The sequence below is a fragment of the Homo sapiens genome, chromosome 18 (genome assembly GCF_000001405.40).
Source record: "Homo sapiens chromosome 18, GRCh38.p14 Primary Assembly".
NCBI classification, from domain to species: domain Eukaryota; kingdom Metazoa; phylum Chordata; class Mammalia; order Primates; family Hominidae; genus Homo; species Homo sapiens.
Genome location: NC_000018.10, coordinates 48,464,320 through 48,480,144, shown reverse-complemented (window position 1 = coordinate 48,480,144; position 15,825 = coordinate 48,464,320). Strand labels below are relative to the sequence as shown.

At 42.8% G+C, this 15,825-nt stretch overlaps 2 pseudogenes; one reads left to right on the top strand and one right to left on the bottom strand.

Annotated features, from left to right (window-relative positions):
* Positions 1–722: 722 nt before the first annotated feature.
* Positions 723–1,627, bottom strand: POLR3GP2 (RNA polymerase III subunit G pseudogene 2; annotated as a pseudogene).
* RNA5SP456 (RNA, 5S ribosomal pseudogene 456) lies at positions 4,545–4,658 on the top strand (annotated as a pseudogene).

Here is a 15,825-nt window from a genome sequence, read left to right as displayed (position 1 = left end):
AGTTCATCTTGCATGTTTATATAAATCAATTGTACAGCTTGAGTACTCTGAAACATAAAAGGCCACCACACTTCATAGAGTTCACACACATGCATTCTACAGTGATATTTATATGACCAGAACTTATTTCACATTTACATAAAGTTTAAAATTAAAATGTCTTAGTCAAATTTTTCATAAGCCCAACTATTTGAAGATGTCACAGTTATTACAGTGGAATAATTAATTCATACATCATACAGTATTAAGTTAGTCCCCAGTTCCAGTATTTATAATATTCACCCCATGTGAAAATTTCTTTGTACTGGCTAAGATGTGAGCCGTGAAATTTATATTGCTCAGTTTGGTATTTTTCCCTGTGTCTATGTTTTCCATCACAAAACCTCTATTTCACAATTCTGTACTTATAAAAGCCCAGGTTGGTTTATGTAGTCATAATGCAGTAGTCTAGAACATACCATGTAAAAGTAAAAAATAAAATTATTTTCAAGTTTGTTTTTAAAGTGCTCCATGTGCTGTATTATATCAACTTTCAGGTTACAGAAATCCACTATGACTGGTAATAGTTTTACAAAAAATCAGCAGTTAAGCAAGCATGATTTCTTCAAGTATGTATACATAGATTAAGAGAGCAAAAATTCTTTAGGCACATTCCTATTCAAATAATACAAAAAAACCCACAAGAGTACATAAGAGAGATGGCAGAGGTGTTTAGAAGGAAGGTCAGAGTGTCAGGGACTAATTTGTAAGGTAATTAGTGTGTAAACTCAAAGTGGTTTTGAATATTTTGGTAACAAATATTTGTCCAAAAAAAAAAAACAAAAATACTTATTCCTTATCAGAAAAAAATACAAAACAAATCTGTCCAAATGTTCAGAAGCTGCATCATAAAAATACTTTTTGAAAAATTTCATGCCTAATAGGTTGCTTCATCCATGTTGTCATCACTGTCTGGGCCAAAATCATTTCCATCTTCGAATTATGAATTAATGTAGTCATTTTCCTCTTCTTGCTCTTCTTCATTATATCCCTCCTGTTCTGCAGCATCATCGTCATCGTCATCATCACCTTCTTTACTTTCCTCTTTGCTTCCTTCTTCCTTTTCATTTTCCTCTTCTGAATTTTCACCATCACCTTTCTTTCCCAATTCCTCAATTTTTTTCAACACATCTGAAGTATTAGTGAGGTGACTTTGCCTGCGTCTTTTGCCTTTTCGGGTTTTGGGCCTGTGTTTTTACATTTATTTCTTGGCGTTATCTCTCTTGGAAGTCTTCTCCAATCTGGTATCCATTCTTCTTTATATACCTTCATGTATCTTTTACTATACCTTTCAATATCTTGTCTTTCTTCAGGTGTTTCAATAAAATAAGGCATTCTTTTCATTGTTTCTCTCAACTCCTGTTTCAAAGCCAGCATGTATTCTTCATCTTCTGTTTTCAGTGGCACTGATTTATAATCTGCATCAGGAAATAGTGGGGGTGGTTTCAACACTACATAAGGTAACTTTTCACCTTTGCTAAATCCAACAGCCTCAGTATTAAAGGTATGAGCAGCACATCCTCCTCTTCCTTTATTCCCAGCCATCAGATCTAGTTATACTAGACGAGTGGGCAAATTCTGAAAGGCATCTGCCTGGCTGCACCCATGCCCAGCATGTTGGCGCTCAAGTGGTACACCCACAAGTCTCCAGGTGGTAGTATCTTTTGAATTCAAGAACACTTCTATGAGTCGGGCAACCATGCCAACATTTGGCTGGTGCATGGCTCCAAGCAGGACGTGGTGATTGATACAGGCCTGGGGCTGCACAGCCTCCCTGAGTACCTGTACTCCTCTGGCCTCTTGTAGGACCTCAGGGCCAAAGAGTTATTTCTGGGTTCTTAATTTATTCTTTTCCATTGGTCTATGTGTCTGTATTTAAGCCAGCACCATGCTGTTTTGGTTACCATAGCTTTGTAGTATATTTTGAAGTCAGGTAGTGTGATATCCCCAGCTTTGTTCTTTTGGCTCAGGATTGCTTTGACTATTCAGGGTCTTCTGTGGTTCTATATAAATTTTAGGGTTGTTCTTTCTGTTTCTGGGAAGAATGTTATTGGTATTTTGATAGGGATTGCATTGAATCTGTATATCACTTTTGGCAGTATGGACATTTTAACAATATTAATTCTTCTAATCTATGAACATGTAATATCTTTTCATTTTTTGTATGCTCTTCAATTTTCTTTCATCAGTATCTTATAGTTTTCATTATGGAGATTTTTCACCTCTGGTTAAATTTACTTCTGGGTATTTTTTTTCCTAGCTATTGTAAATGGGATTGCTTTCTTGGTTTCTTTTTCAGATTGTTCATTATGGGCAAATAGAAATGCTGCTGCTTTTTGTATGTTGAGTTTGTATCCTGCAACTTTATTGAATTTGTTTATTAGTTCTAACAGTTTTTTGGTGGAGTTTTTAGGTTTTTCTAAATCATATTGCCTGTAAACGGGGACAGTTTGAATTCCTCCTTTCCAATTTGGATGCCTTTTATTTCCTTCTCTTGCTTAATTGGTCTGGCTAGGACTTGAAGTACTATGTTGAATAACAGTGGTGAAAGTGAGCATCCTTATCTTGTTCCAGATCTTAGAGGAAAGGCTTTCAACATTTCCCCATTCGGTATAAAATTAGTACTAATATGTTAGCTGTGGGTTTGTCATATATGACCTTTATTGTTTTGAGGTATGTTCATTTTATACCTAGTTTGTTGAGAGTTTTTATCATGAATTAATGTTGTATTTTATCAAGCATTTTTCTCCATCTATTAGAATGATCGTATGGTTTTGTCCTTCATTCTGATGATGTATCACATTTAGTGATCTTCATATGTTGAAATATCCTTGCAACTTGATCATGGTATGTAATCTTTTTGATATGCTGTTAGATTCAGTTTGCTAGTATTTTGCTGAGAAATTTTGCAACTATGTTCATCAGGAATTTTGGCCTATAGTTTTCTTTTTTAGTTGTGTCCTGGTCTGCTTTTGGCATCAGGGTAATGCTGGTCTTGTAGAATGAGTTTGGAAGAATTCCTTTGCCTTCAATTTTCTGGAATAGTTGCAGAAAAAAATAGTATTAGTTCTTTAAAATTCGTAGAATTCAGCAGTGAAGCCAACCAGTCTAAAGGGAGCAATTTTGAGGCCTTCCACAGATACCCTCAGATCCCACCTATGGCAACCTCTGCTGGCTTTAACCAAAACCTACCCCCTCTAAGTCAATTCTCCCTCATCCTCCTGAATTGGAGTGGGGAGTTGCTTCTCTCTATACATCCGTAGAGGGGTTTTACATGCAAAGATGATATTTTGTCGCCCCTCCCTTACTTTCAAAGCAATTCCTGGTAGAATTCAGAACATCTCAGCCCTGTCTACAGAGAAGTGGGTCTGCACAGTCCTTTGTGGAGTCTGCAGAGCCGTGTGTGTGACCCACATGGGGTCAAGGACACAGGATCCTACCTATGATCTGGTCTTCATTCCTTCTCAGGGAATGGGGCCAACTCATATTTTGACCTGAGTCAAATAGACCTAAGTTTGAATTCTGCTTCAGCCACTGTCTAGCTGTATAACATTGTGCCTCTTACTTTTTCTGAGCCTGGTTTCCACATATGTAAAATAGGGATGACAACATGTATTTTGCAGGGTAGTTATGAGACCTGAATGATCCAAATGACCATGCTGTGTACTAGCTGTGTGACCTTAAGCAAGTTACTTAACCCTTCGTACCTCTGTACTTATGGGTTGTTATGAGGTATGAGTGCATTAATATTTGCAAAAAGCACATGAGAGTGCCTTGTGCATACAAAACATTACTTAGTGTTAACTATTGTTAATATTAAAGTATGTAAACTGGCTGATGTGCAAAAGGCCTTCAGTAAATGTAAGCTATTTTATCTTCTCCTTCTCAAGCCCACAGGTTCTGACTGTAGAAGTCTGGTTTCTCTGAGGCCACCACAGAGTTCCAGGCAGCCCGTTTATCTGGATTTGAATAGTTTTAAGTAAGTGGCCTTGGTTTGCCTTCTGGCACACAAAAAATAAAGTAACAGAGACACCTAGTGGGAGCTGATAGCAAGTGCTCCAGCAAGTCTGAGTGCCTGTGTCTGGGATCAGGTGGAGACCCGGAGGATGGAACCACTGTGGCCCATGAGTGCACAATGAGGCCAACAGGCTCTCTCGAGCCATGCCAGGGCAGCCTTCACCAATGGGAAGCCCTGCTCATCCACCCTGCAGCTGGTCCTTGTCACCAAGGCTCTGTTCTGAACAACCTCTGGGGACAAAGAGTCTGTTGCTGTATCAGCTCACACGGGTGGACCTAGCCTCAGGTCGTGGTGGGGGATGTAGGAAAGCAGACAGTTTTCTGCTTTGAGGAGTTGGCAGAAAACGATTGGACTTGGCACTTTTTTTGCTGTGTGACCTCGGATGAATCATTTAGCATCTCTGAGCTCCAGTTTCCTTGTGTGCAAAAACAGAGTTAGTAATAGTGAGGATGGTTTAAAATGATGGATGTAGAAAGCGAAGTGCTGAGTCTATGCCCATACCCCCTTGAATGCACCCGAACTTGTCTGATCTCAGAAGCTAAACAGGGTCAGGCCTGGTTAGTACTTGGATGTGACAAAGTTAAGCACTGTGTTGTTGACACACAGGAAGCACCCAATAAATGGTAGCTATTGTTGTTATTGTTATGATTTTATGGTGGATAACCGCACATGAAATAAATAGGGAATAAATCCACACAATATTGAACCAAGTGAAAGCCATCGTAGTTTATAGCAGGTGAGAGACAGGGCTATTCCAGATCTGCAGTAGTTAGGTGAGGCCTCATGGAGAAGACAAGATTTCTGATGAGCCTCTGACTGCAACAACAAACAAATTATACTCCTACTGGCTGAAACAATTATGGGGTGTGTTGGCTCATATAACTTGGTAAGATTTGATCCAGTGCCTTGATGATGTTACGAGGAGCCAATCTTTTCTTTTAAAAATATTCTTGTGACATAAAAAAGATTTAGAAAACGACATAGCATTCACCTTAGGAAATAAAATAGCAAATATAGTTGAGGCTTCCTGGCCCTCCTTCAGTTGCATTTCCCCTTCCCCTACCCTGCAAAAAGAACCACTCTCCTAAATTTGGTGTTTATACTTCCCATGGATGTATTTATGTTATTATTACATATGTGTGTGTTCCTAAACAACATATGGTAAAATTGTATGTTTTAAACCTTTTTATAAATATGTCATAGAGTATGTGTCTGTATTTGTCTGTTTGGGCTGCATAACAAAATACCATAGATTTGGTGGCTTAAACCACAGAAATGTATTTTCTCAAAGTTCTAGAGGCCAGGAAGTCCAAGCTCAAGGTGCCAGCCAGGGAGGTTTCATTCTGCAGACTGTTCTCTAGTCTTGCAGGTAGCTACTGTTTCTCTGGGTGCTCACGTGACCTCTTCCTTGTGCTTGTACAGGGAGAGAAAGAGAGATAGCAAGCTCTTTGATGTCTCCTCATGAGAGCCCCATCCTCAGGACCCCAACTAATGCTAATGATCTCCTAAAGACCCCATCTCCAAATACGATCACATTTGGGGTAGAGTTTCAATATGTTAATTTTGAGGGGATACAGATATTCTGCTCATTTCATTCCACTTCTGCCTCCCACAAAGTTCATGCCCTTCTTACATGCAGATGCATTCATTCCATTCCAACAGTCCCAAAAGTCTTAATTCATTCCAGCATCAACTCTAGTTCTAAAGACCAAAATCTCAACTAAATATCATCAAAATCAGGTATGGATGAAAATCGAGCTACAATTCATTGTGAGCAAAACTACTCACCAGCTATGAACCTGTGAAACCCGACTATTATGTGTTTCCAAAATATAACGGTGGAAAGGGCATAGGATGAACATTCCCATTCCAGAAGGGAGAAATCAGAAGAAAGGGGTGACAGGTCCCAAGCAAGTTCAATACCTAGCAAGGCAAATTCCATTAGATCTTAGGGGTTGAGAATAATCCTCTTTGGTTCAGTGCTCTGTCCACCCCCCATCCCAGCCCACTGGAGTGGCAGCATCACCTCACCACTCTCTGTGGCAACCTCACCTGCACAGCTCTCTGTGGTGGCCATCTGGTCTACTGAAACTGAGAAGAAACCAACCTTACCCCTTGGTTCTGTGATAGGAGCCCTGATGATCTCTGAATTGCCTTCAGGGTCATTGTTGCCTTTTCTTGAAGGACAAAGCATATTTCTCAACTGAATAGTTCTACCATCCTGCTCTGTAGAATCGCAATATCCAACAGCCTTTTTTCAACCTGTCTCACTTTCTCTGTCCCCTTTAGTTCAAACTGGCAGTGCCTAACTTCTATCCCTGGCTCTTATGAGCTGGCTAGCGAAATCCATGTGTTGCACCCATGATCTCTTTATCAAATGTTTGGCCAGCCACAACCTTAGTGTGCTCTTTAGAGGTGAAAATGCTTCTTCATTTTTTGTTTTTCCAATATGCATAGGCTGAGAATTTTCCAAATCTTCAAGCTCTGGGTCCCTTTTTTTTTTTTTTTTTTTTTCAGTCTTTTGAGACAGAGTCTTGCTCTGTCACCCAGGCTGGAGTGCAGTGGTGCAATCTTGGCTCACTGCAAGCTCCGCCTCCTGGGTTCACACCATTCTCCTGCCTCAGCCTCTCAAGTAGCTGGGACTACAGGCGCCTGCCACCACGCCTGGCTAATTTTTTTTTTTTTTTGTATTTTTAGTAAAGACAGGGTTTCACCGTGTTAACCAGAATGGTCTCAATCTCCTGACCTCGTGATCCGCCTGCCTCGGTCTCCCAAAGTGCTGGGATTACAGGCATGAGCCACTGCGCCGGGCCCAAGCTCTGGGTCCTTTTTGATTAACAATTTTTTTCAATTTCTCTCTTCTCTCTCATTTTACTATAAGCAATAAAGAGAAACCAAACGACTCCTTTAACATTTTGCTTAGCAATGCCCTCAGCTAAACATCCAGTTTCATTGCTTGTAAGTTCTACCTTCAACAAAACACTAGAACAAAATTCAGCCAGGTTCTTTGCCACTTTGTAACAAGAATCACCTTTCCTCCAATTTCCAATAAACTCTTTCTCATTTTCAGCTGAAACCTCACCAGTATTACCTTTAGCAGCTGTATTTCTACCGACAGTCCTTTTAAGGCAATCTAGGCTTTTCCTAGCATGCACCTCAAAACTCCTCCAACCTCTACACATGAGCCAGTTCCAAAGCCACTTCTACAGTTTTAGCATTTGTTATGGCAACTCCCTGCTTCTCAACACAAAAATCTGTCTTAGTCATCTTGGGATGTCATAATGAAATACCATAGATGAAGTGGCTTAAGCCACAGAAATTAATTTTCTCACAGTTCTAGAAGCTGAAATTTCAAGTTCCAGCTGATTCAGTTTCTGGTCAGGGGCCTCTTCCTGCCGTACAGATGGCCACCTTCTCACTATGTCCTCACATGGACTTTCCTTGCTCTCTGTGTGTGTGTGTGTGTGTGTGTGCACGCGTGCGTGTGTGTGTGTGCACGCATGCGTGTGTGTGGAGAGAGAGACAGACAGACAGAGAGAAAACGTCTAGTGTCTCCTCTTATAAGGACACTAATCCTATCAGATCAGGGCCCCACCCTTTTGACTTCATTTAACCTTAATTACTTCCTTAGAGGCCCTGTCTCCAAATGCAGCCACACTGAAGGTTAGGTCTTCAACATATGAATTTGAGGAAACACAGACATTCACATTATATCATGGATTTATACTGATTCAAGAGTAATTGCAAATGGTTTGATCGGATGGTCGGGTACTTGGAAAGAACACGACTGGAGGATTAGAGACAAGGAAGTCTGGGAAAGTTATGTGGATGGAACTCAGCATGGGCAGACTGTGAAGATCTTTCTGTCCCATGGGATTGCTCATCAAAAGACATCGTTTGCGGATCAGAGGAGACTTTCAGTAGTCAGGAGGACCAAATAATACACTCTATCAATGTCAGTCAACATCTTTTCCCAGCCACCCCAGGGCTTGCTCAATGGACTCAGGGATAAACTGGTCATGGCAGTGGAGATGGAGCTGTGCATAAGCCCAACAATGTGGATGTTCCCTTACCAAGGCTGACCTGGCTATAGCTAAGTGAATGCTTAACTTGCCAACTGCAGAGATAAGCACCAACCCCCAATATACCACTCCCTGAGGGGACCTGTCAACCACCCCGTGGCAGGTTGATTACACTGGACCTCTTCTCTCCTGGAATCGGACAGCAATTGTTCTTGCTGGGATAGGCACACATTCTGGACAAGGATCTGGTTTCCCTGCCTGTGATGCCCATGCCTGCCCTTCACCACCAGTAGGCTCACAGAAGAATGCCCCATCCATCTTCAGAGCATTCTCAAGGGCATTCTGATTAAGGAATGTGTTTCTCAGCCAAGGAAGTACAGCAGTGGGTTAATGCTCTTGGGATTCATTGGTACTTCCACATACCCTATCGCCTGGAAATAAATGGTCTTATTGAAAGGTGGAATAGCTTCTTGAAGACCCAGTTGCAGCACCAGTTGGAAGGCAGTGTCCTGAAACCATGGGGTTCTGTGTCACAAGGTGCAGTATGTCCTTTGAATCAGAAATCATTACATGACATTGCCTTCTCCATGGCAAGAACTCACGAGTCTGGAAATCAAAGGGTAGAAGTAGAAGTGGTTCCTCTCTCCCTTACACCTAGTCACCCACTTATAGAATTTTTGCTTCCCATCCTGGCAACTTGGAGCTTTGTTGGTTTGGAAGTCTTAGGTCTGAATGGGAGAATGCTTATATCAGGGGACACATCGGTAGGATCATTGATTGGAAGATGAGAATGCCCTCCAGCTATTTTGGGCTATTTATACTATGGTACCAATTAGAAGAACAAGGATTTCAGCTTTCGTTTTTTTCTACTGACAGGAGCGATTAATTCCAGTTACCGGGGGAAACTGGTTTGCAGCTACACAATGGGGCAAGGAGAGTTATATCTGGAACTGAGAAGATTCTCTGGGGAACAGGAGAGTTTGGGGAGGGATGGGCAAGGGCAGCATCCTTAGCTCATGACTTGATGCCACCTACTCTGTTGACACCATGAATGACTCAAAATTAGGCCTGTCTCTGTAGCCATTTCTTTGTCTCTTTGACATGAGCCGGGTTCAGGATTTCCTGCCTCCAGCCCCAGCCCCGGCTCTTGGGCACCCTAGGTTTGGCCTTCCATGCCATGCTGCTTCACATGGTAAATATTGATGCTGCAGTATTTACAGAGACCTTCTTCCCCAGGACCCTCCTCCCCTGTGATCTATGCTTTCTCTTTCACTTACTCAAATTGAGCCCCACTCAATGTGGTTTCTGTTTCCAGTAATTTTCCCTCAGACTGCAGCTCTTTCCTTCTGGAATGAATTGTTTGCCGGATATTTCTGAGACTCTCAGGAATTTAAACTGTTCCACCCTCTCTGCTCCACCCAGATCCAGGCCCAGTTATCTTCACTGTGAGCCCCTGGGACTCCTCTTCCCTGCTCAGGATGCGCTCAGCTCTGATCAGGGTGTTGTCTTCATCTTTTGGGGGTGAGAATTTGTGGGTGACTTTTTTATTTTTGTGACCAAGTCCTGTTGTTGCTGGTTTGGCGTATTTGTCCATGTCCTCAGGTTTGATAGGTCTCCTGTCACCTAATTTGGTTGAAGAGGTTAGAGGTTAGAGGTGGGATTTTTGTTGTTGTTGGCTGAGGTGGTGGGTTTTTGGGGGGCTGCATCCTATCTGCTCTACTTGGTTGTCAGGAGAGGTTATAGGGAGATTGGGAAACCTACTGCCACCATGACCACATTGCCCTTGAGTTGGATTCTTAGTTGATTTTCTTTCTAAGGCCCTAATATATAGATTTTAAGGCTATGAATTTATCTTTAAATTCCGTTTTGGCTGAAGTCCACAGATTTTGGTAGATAAGGCTCTTATGTTGCTTTATTTTTAAAGATTGGTTCATTTCAGTTTTGGTTTCCTTTTAGACCCATGATACCTATTTTCTTTTTTTTTTTTTTTTTTTTGAGACGGAGTCTCGCTCTGTCGCCCAGGCTGGAGTGCAGTGGCGCAATCTCGGCTCACTGCAAGCTCCGCCTCCCGGGTTCACGCCATTCTCCTGCCTCAGCCTCCCAAGTAGCTGGGACTACAGGCGCCCGCCACTACGCCCGGCTAATTTTTTGTATTTTTAGTAGAGACGGGGTTTCACCGTTTTAGCCGGGATGGTCTCGATCTCCTGACCTCGTGATCCGCCCGCCTCGGCCTCCCAAAGTGCTGGGATTACAGGCGTGAGCCACCGCGCCCGGCCCATGATACCTATTTTCTAGATTGTGTTTTCCTTGGAGGTAGAGACGACATCTCTGTACATGGTTGTGTCTTTTGTAATTATTTAGTGTCAGAGCAGTAGGAAATGCTTGATATTTTTTGTTGTTGGAATGGAATGAAAATAGTGTTACACATTCCTGTTCTCTATCTGGTCCAGCATACAAACGAGACACAGCAGGAAAGAAGGAGTATTTAACATAGTACATCTGGGGTTCTTGGATCAAAATATGTTGTGATACTTCCAATTTAGGGTTAATTTGCCTAAGTATTATCTTTTTGTGGTGGTAACTCTCCCCCAGGAATATTGATTGGAATAATACATCTCTTTCTTTCCTTCCTTTCTTTCCTTTTCTTTTCTTTTCTTGTCTTTCTCTCTTTCTTTCTTCTTTCTCTCTCTTTTTTTCTTTCTTTTTTAACACAGGGTTTCCTCTGTCACCCAGGCTGGAGTGCACTGGTGCCATCTCAGCTCACTGCAACCTCTGCCTCCCGGGTTCAGGCAATTCTCCTGCCTCAGCCTCCCATGTAGCTGGGATTACAGGTGCCCACCACCACACCCAGCTAATTTTTATATTTTTTTGGTAGAGACAGGCTTTCATCATGTTGGCTGGGCTGGTCTCGAACTCCTGACTCAAATCTGCCCAACTCGGCCTCCCAAAGTGCTGGGATTAGAGCCAGCCAGCCCGGCAGGGATAATACATCTTTGAAGGATCAGCATATATTAATCAAATTGCCTTCCTTATAGCTGAATGTAACGTCACTGAGGGAATGAGAGTTTGGATGCCGATGAAGAAGAAATATTTTTGAAGCGTGGTTCAAAGCTGGAGAGGGCTGACTTGAGGAGCAGGAGTATCTAGAAATGTTTCCTAATCCTGACTACATCTTAGAATTCTTTGGAGGGGAGTGGTGGTTTCTAAAATACACCTAAGAGATTGTAATTTAATTGATTTCAGGTGGGGCCTGGGCACTAATAATTCAGAGGATGGAAGAAAGTAGAACAGCCTAGACTTAAGTGTATCCATTTTGCAGTTTTTTTCGAAGAGCTAGCGGTGGAGATGGCAGCTGCCTGGTACAGCACTGCGCCCTACCCATGGAGCATCTGAAAAAGTGGCAATGCATTCCTGTAGGTACATGGGAAACCAAGTGGCAGGAAAGGGGGCTACTTGGCAAAGATTGTTTGATAACACTGTGGGCTGGGCAGGAGCACTGAGCAGCAGATGGAACAGGAAGAAGCTTGCTGCAGTAGCCCAGGGAGAGGCAGCTTCAGCCACAGGCCCCCTGGGTTAGATTTTCTCCCCTTCTGCAACCTAGAGTGGCTCCCCTTCATGCTATTCCCAGGGCTGGGATAGCAGTGGCTGGGGCTGTTGTAACAAAGCACCACAAACTGGGTGGCGTCAACATAGTAATGTATTGTCTCACAGCTCTAGAGCTAGAAGTCTGAAATCACTGTGTCGGCTGGATTTGGGTTCCTCCTGAGGGCTGTGAGGGAAGGCTCTGTTCCAGGCCTCTCCCTTTTGTTTGTCAGGGGCCATCTTCTCTGGGTCTCTTCACATCATTTTCCTTTCTGCATGTTTTTTCCAGATACTCCCACACACACACTTTTTTTACAATCTTTTTTTTTGATATGGAGTCTTGCTCTGTCGCCCAGGCTGCAGAGCAATGGCATGATCTCAGCTCACTACAACCTCCACCTCCCAGGTTCAAGCGATTCTCCTGCCTCAGCCTCCCATGTAGCTGGGATTAGAGACACACACCACCACACTCACCTAATTTTTGTATTTTTTGGCAGAGAGGGGGTTTCACCATGTTGGCCAGGCTGGCCTTGAACTCCTGACCTCAAGTGATCTGCCTGCCCTGGCCTCCCAAAGTGCTGGATTACAGGCTTGAGCCACCGTGCCTGGCCCAGATTTCCCCTTTTTATAGGGACACCAGTCCTATTGGATTAGGGCCCATCCTAATGACTTTATTTTAACTTGATTCCTTTTGTAAAAATCATGTCTCCAAATAAGTCACATTCTGAGGTAGTGGGAGTTCAGAATTCAACATATGAATTTGAGCAGGACAGAATTTAACTCATAAGAGTTGACAAAGCCAGGTCTCTTTATTTCTTTGTTAGTACCTACAAATCACCAACACAAAATGGCTGCGTTCCCTCCCTAGGAGTTCTGACTGGGTCTTCCGGACTGACTTTCTGCTCTCCACAAGCAGCTCTCAGTTGATGCTTTCTCCTCTCTTACGCTGCCAAAATGTGTCCTGTAACCATTTCCAGTGTAGTCACATCATTCTTTTTTTTGTTATGCCCAATAGCTGAGTGACCTGGGTGGTCCAAAAATTCCCCTGAAGTCTTGTGACCTGGTCACGCAACACAGCCAGCAACGGCAGCAACCGCCCACCCTGGGAAAATCTGTCATTCCAGACTGCTTTAACTGAATCCTAGTTCATACACTTGTATGACTATGTATACCTGGAATTGCCCTTAGAGACTAAATATCCTAGAGGTGTTCAACCAGTTTTCACAAATACACTGTTTTTAGAGACAGGGTCTCAGTCTCTCTCCCAGGCTGTAGTGCAGTGATGCCATCGTGGCTCACTGCAGCTTTGAACTCCTGGTCTCAAGCAATCCTCCCACCTCGGCCTCCTGAGTAGCTGGGATAGCTGAGACAGCTGAGACTTCAGATGCACACCACCATGCCTGGCTAATTTTCTTTATTTTTTGGAGAGGCAGGGTCTTGCTATGCTGCTTAGTCTGGTCTTGAACTCCTGGCCTCAAGTGATTATCCTGCTTTGGCCTCCCAAAATTTTGGGATTATAGGTATGAGCCACCATGCCCAGTTCAAATAATCTCTTTTATTCAAATGAACTATTTGGTAAATCCTCAATGTAAAACAGGTAAAAAGAAATGAATGGACTAGGAGTTCCCATTTTTGTAATTTGTGGATGTTGCATGACTGTTGTGGAACCAATGGAGTACTTCCATGGAGCCCCGAGTTTCTCTGTCTCAGAGAAAACTGCAGATCTCTCCAAACTCCTTGGTTTGCAGGAAAGGAAATGGAACCCAAAGAAATGAAAAGAACGAGCCAAAAGCACTCACAGAGTGGAAGATCCAATGGGGAACTCTGGTATCTTGAAACCTAGACTAGTACTATCACAAGGGCCTGCCTCTGGCAGTCAGGACCTTAAAAAGAATGAGTTTACCATTGTTTTAGAAAGTATTTCTCGGCCAGGCGCGGTGGCTCATGCCTGTAATCCCAGCACTTTGGGAGGCCAAGGAGGGCGGATCATGAGGTCAGGAGATCTAGACCATCCTGGCTAACATGGTGAAACCCCATCTCTACTAAAAATACAAAAAATTAGCCAGGTGCAGTGGCGGGCGCCTGTAGTCCCAGCTACTCGGGAGGCTGAGGCAGGAGAATGGCGTGAACCCGGGAGGCGGAGCTTGCAGTGAGCTGAGATGGCGCCACTGCACTCCAGCCTGGGCGACAGAGCGAGACTCCATCTCAAAAAAAAAAAAAAAGAAAGTATTTCTCAAGTGAGTTCTGGACAGCATCTTGTAAGTAAGTATGATTCCCAAATAAATTCTGGAAAAGCTGTTCTATAATTCTCCATAGCTAACTCTCATAGCATATTAGTTGTACTTAAGGCTCAAAGATGTCCTGCAGCACAGAAAGCCACTTATCTTTGCTTATTCCAGTTTTTCCAAAAGTCTTAAAAAACAAAAACAAAAAGGTGTTACATTTTCCTAGGACTGCTTGCACTCTGCTTTGGAGCCCAGAAGAGTCTTCTCTTAAGATGTGAATCTCTACAGGGAGCAACTCAGTCATGCTAACAGTGGCTGTGAGATTTCAGGTATCATGACCTGCACCATTTCCTTTGCCTGGGAATTGCTGGCCAGCATCTCTGGCAGGTGCAAGGATGGAGGCAGATGAGCGAGGAATTGCAGTGTGGTAGAAATGAATGGTGCTGTCTTTAAATTGCCCCTTGGAGTTTTGTACTTCTTGTACCTTTTGGGAGAAGAGTAGCCTTCAAGAGCCTGGATGTGGCCAGTGGTCTGGGAGAGATTTCCTAGCCTATTCTTTCATTGTTTTGCCTCCTTTCTCTAATGCATGCCTACTTCCAAATCCTCCCTTCAAATGCTTGCTCCTCTCCATTCCTGCCAACACCTTTCTGAGCCTCTCATCGTTCTCCAGTGACCTCCAGGCAGAGCACTCTAAGGTCCGTCACCCTTATCTTCCCTGGACAGTTGGTGTATGTAAATGTGATTACCAGAATCTTTTGCAAGGATGAAGTTCCAACGCTCCAGCATGAGAATTTCCAACACTCCTTTAGAGTCTAGGAATAAACAAACCCAATTAAATTCACAGCCACCACCAGAGGGCACAGTGAGACTCATGCAGGAGTAAAGGATGTTGAATAGAGACTGCAAAAACTTACTCTTGAAATGCATTTATTTATTTATTTATTTATTTATTTATTTATTTATTTATTTTTATGTTCATAGCTGGTTCACATAGTCTTAGAAACAGGCAAAGTTTGAATCTAAAAACTGCAGAGTGAAATACTGTAGCTTTGGTCATTATTCGTGACTTCTTCATTACCTTTATTCCAAATTCAGTAGAATTCTCTTATAATTAGACTCATGCCACACCACTGCAGTTGTGCCCTGGGGACCTAATCCCAGCCTTTCATAGATGTGCAGGCAGAGTGTTCACAAGAAGTTCCCAGCCTTGTTCTCACAAACATGAATGCTAAGGAGGACTCCTTTATAATTAAGTTTCAACTATAAAGCAGGGCTGGGGAAAAATACGGTGTACAGTAGAGGCTGTTCTGGGTTGGCCTTCAGAAAATGGGACTCTGACTCCAGCTCTGATATGATTAACCATGTGAATCTCTGATGTAACAACAGTGAGAGTGGATGTTCATTGAGAACCTACTGTATGCCACCTACTGTGTGCCACCCTGGCACCTTATAAATATTATCACCATTCTTATGATAAAACTGCGAGACAGATATTTTCCCCTTTATTTAACAAATACGAAAACTGATGCTCAGAAATATTAAATGATGTGCTTAAAGACACACAGCCAGCAAGTGATGGAACCATGAAACCATTTCTAGGTGTGTTTGGCCATAAACCAGGTGATTTTTCATTACTTACACTTTTTCCACTTTTTGATGTTTCAGTTTCTGTACATTCTTTGTAATAAAATTCACTCCTGTCTTTCTGCTTATTCAGGCTTGGCTAACTGTTGTCACAATCTCAAACTCTCAGAGGTTGAATAAGATAAAAACCTTTCTTGTTTATGCATAAGTCCAATGCAAGTCAGACAGGGGCCTTTGCTCCAGGCAGTCATTCAGGCACCCAGTTTCCTTCCATCTTTTGGAGCTGCCATCTTCAGAATGTGGCTTTCAGGGTCTCCATGGATCAGAAAGGAGAGTCATATGAGAGATTTGTATG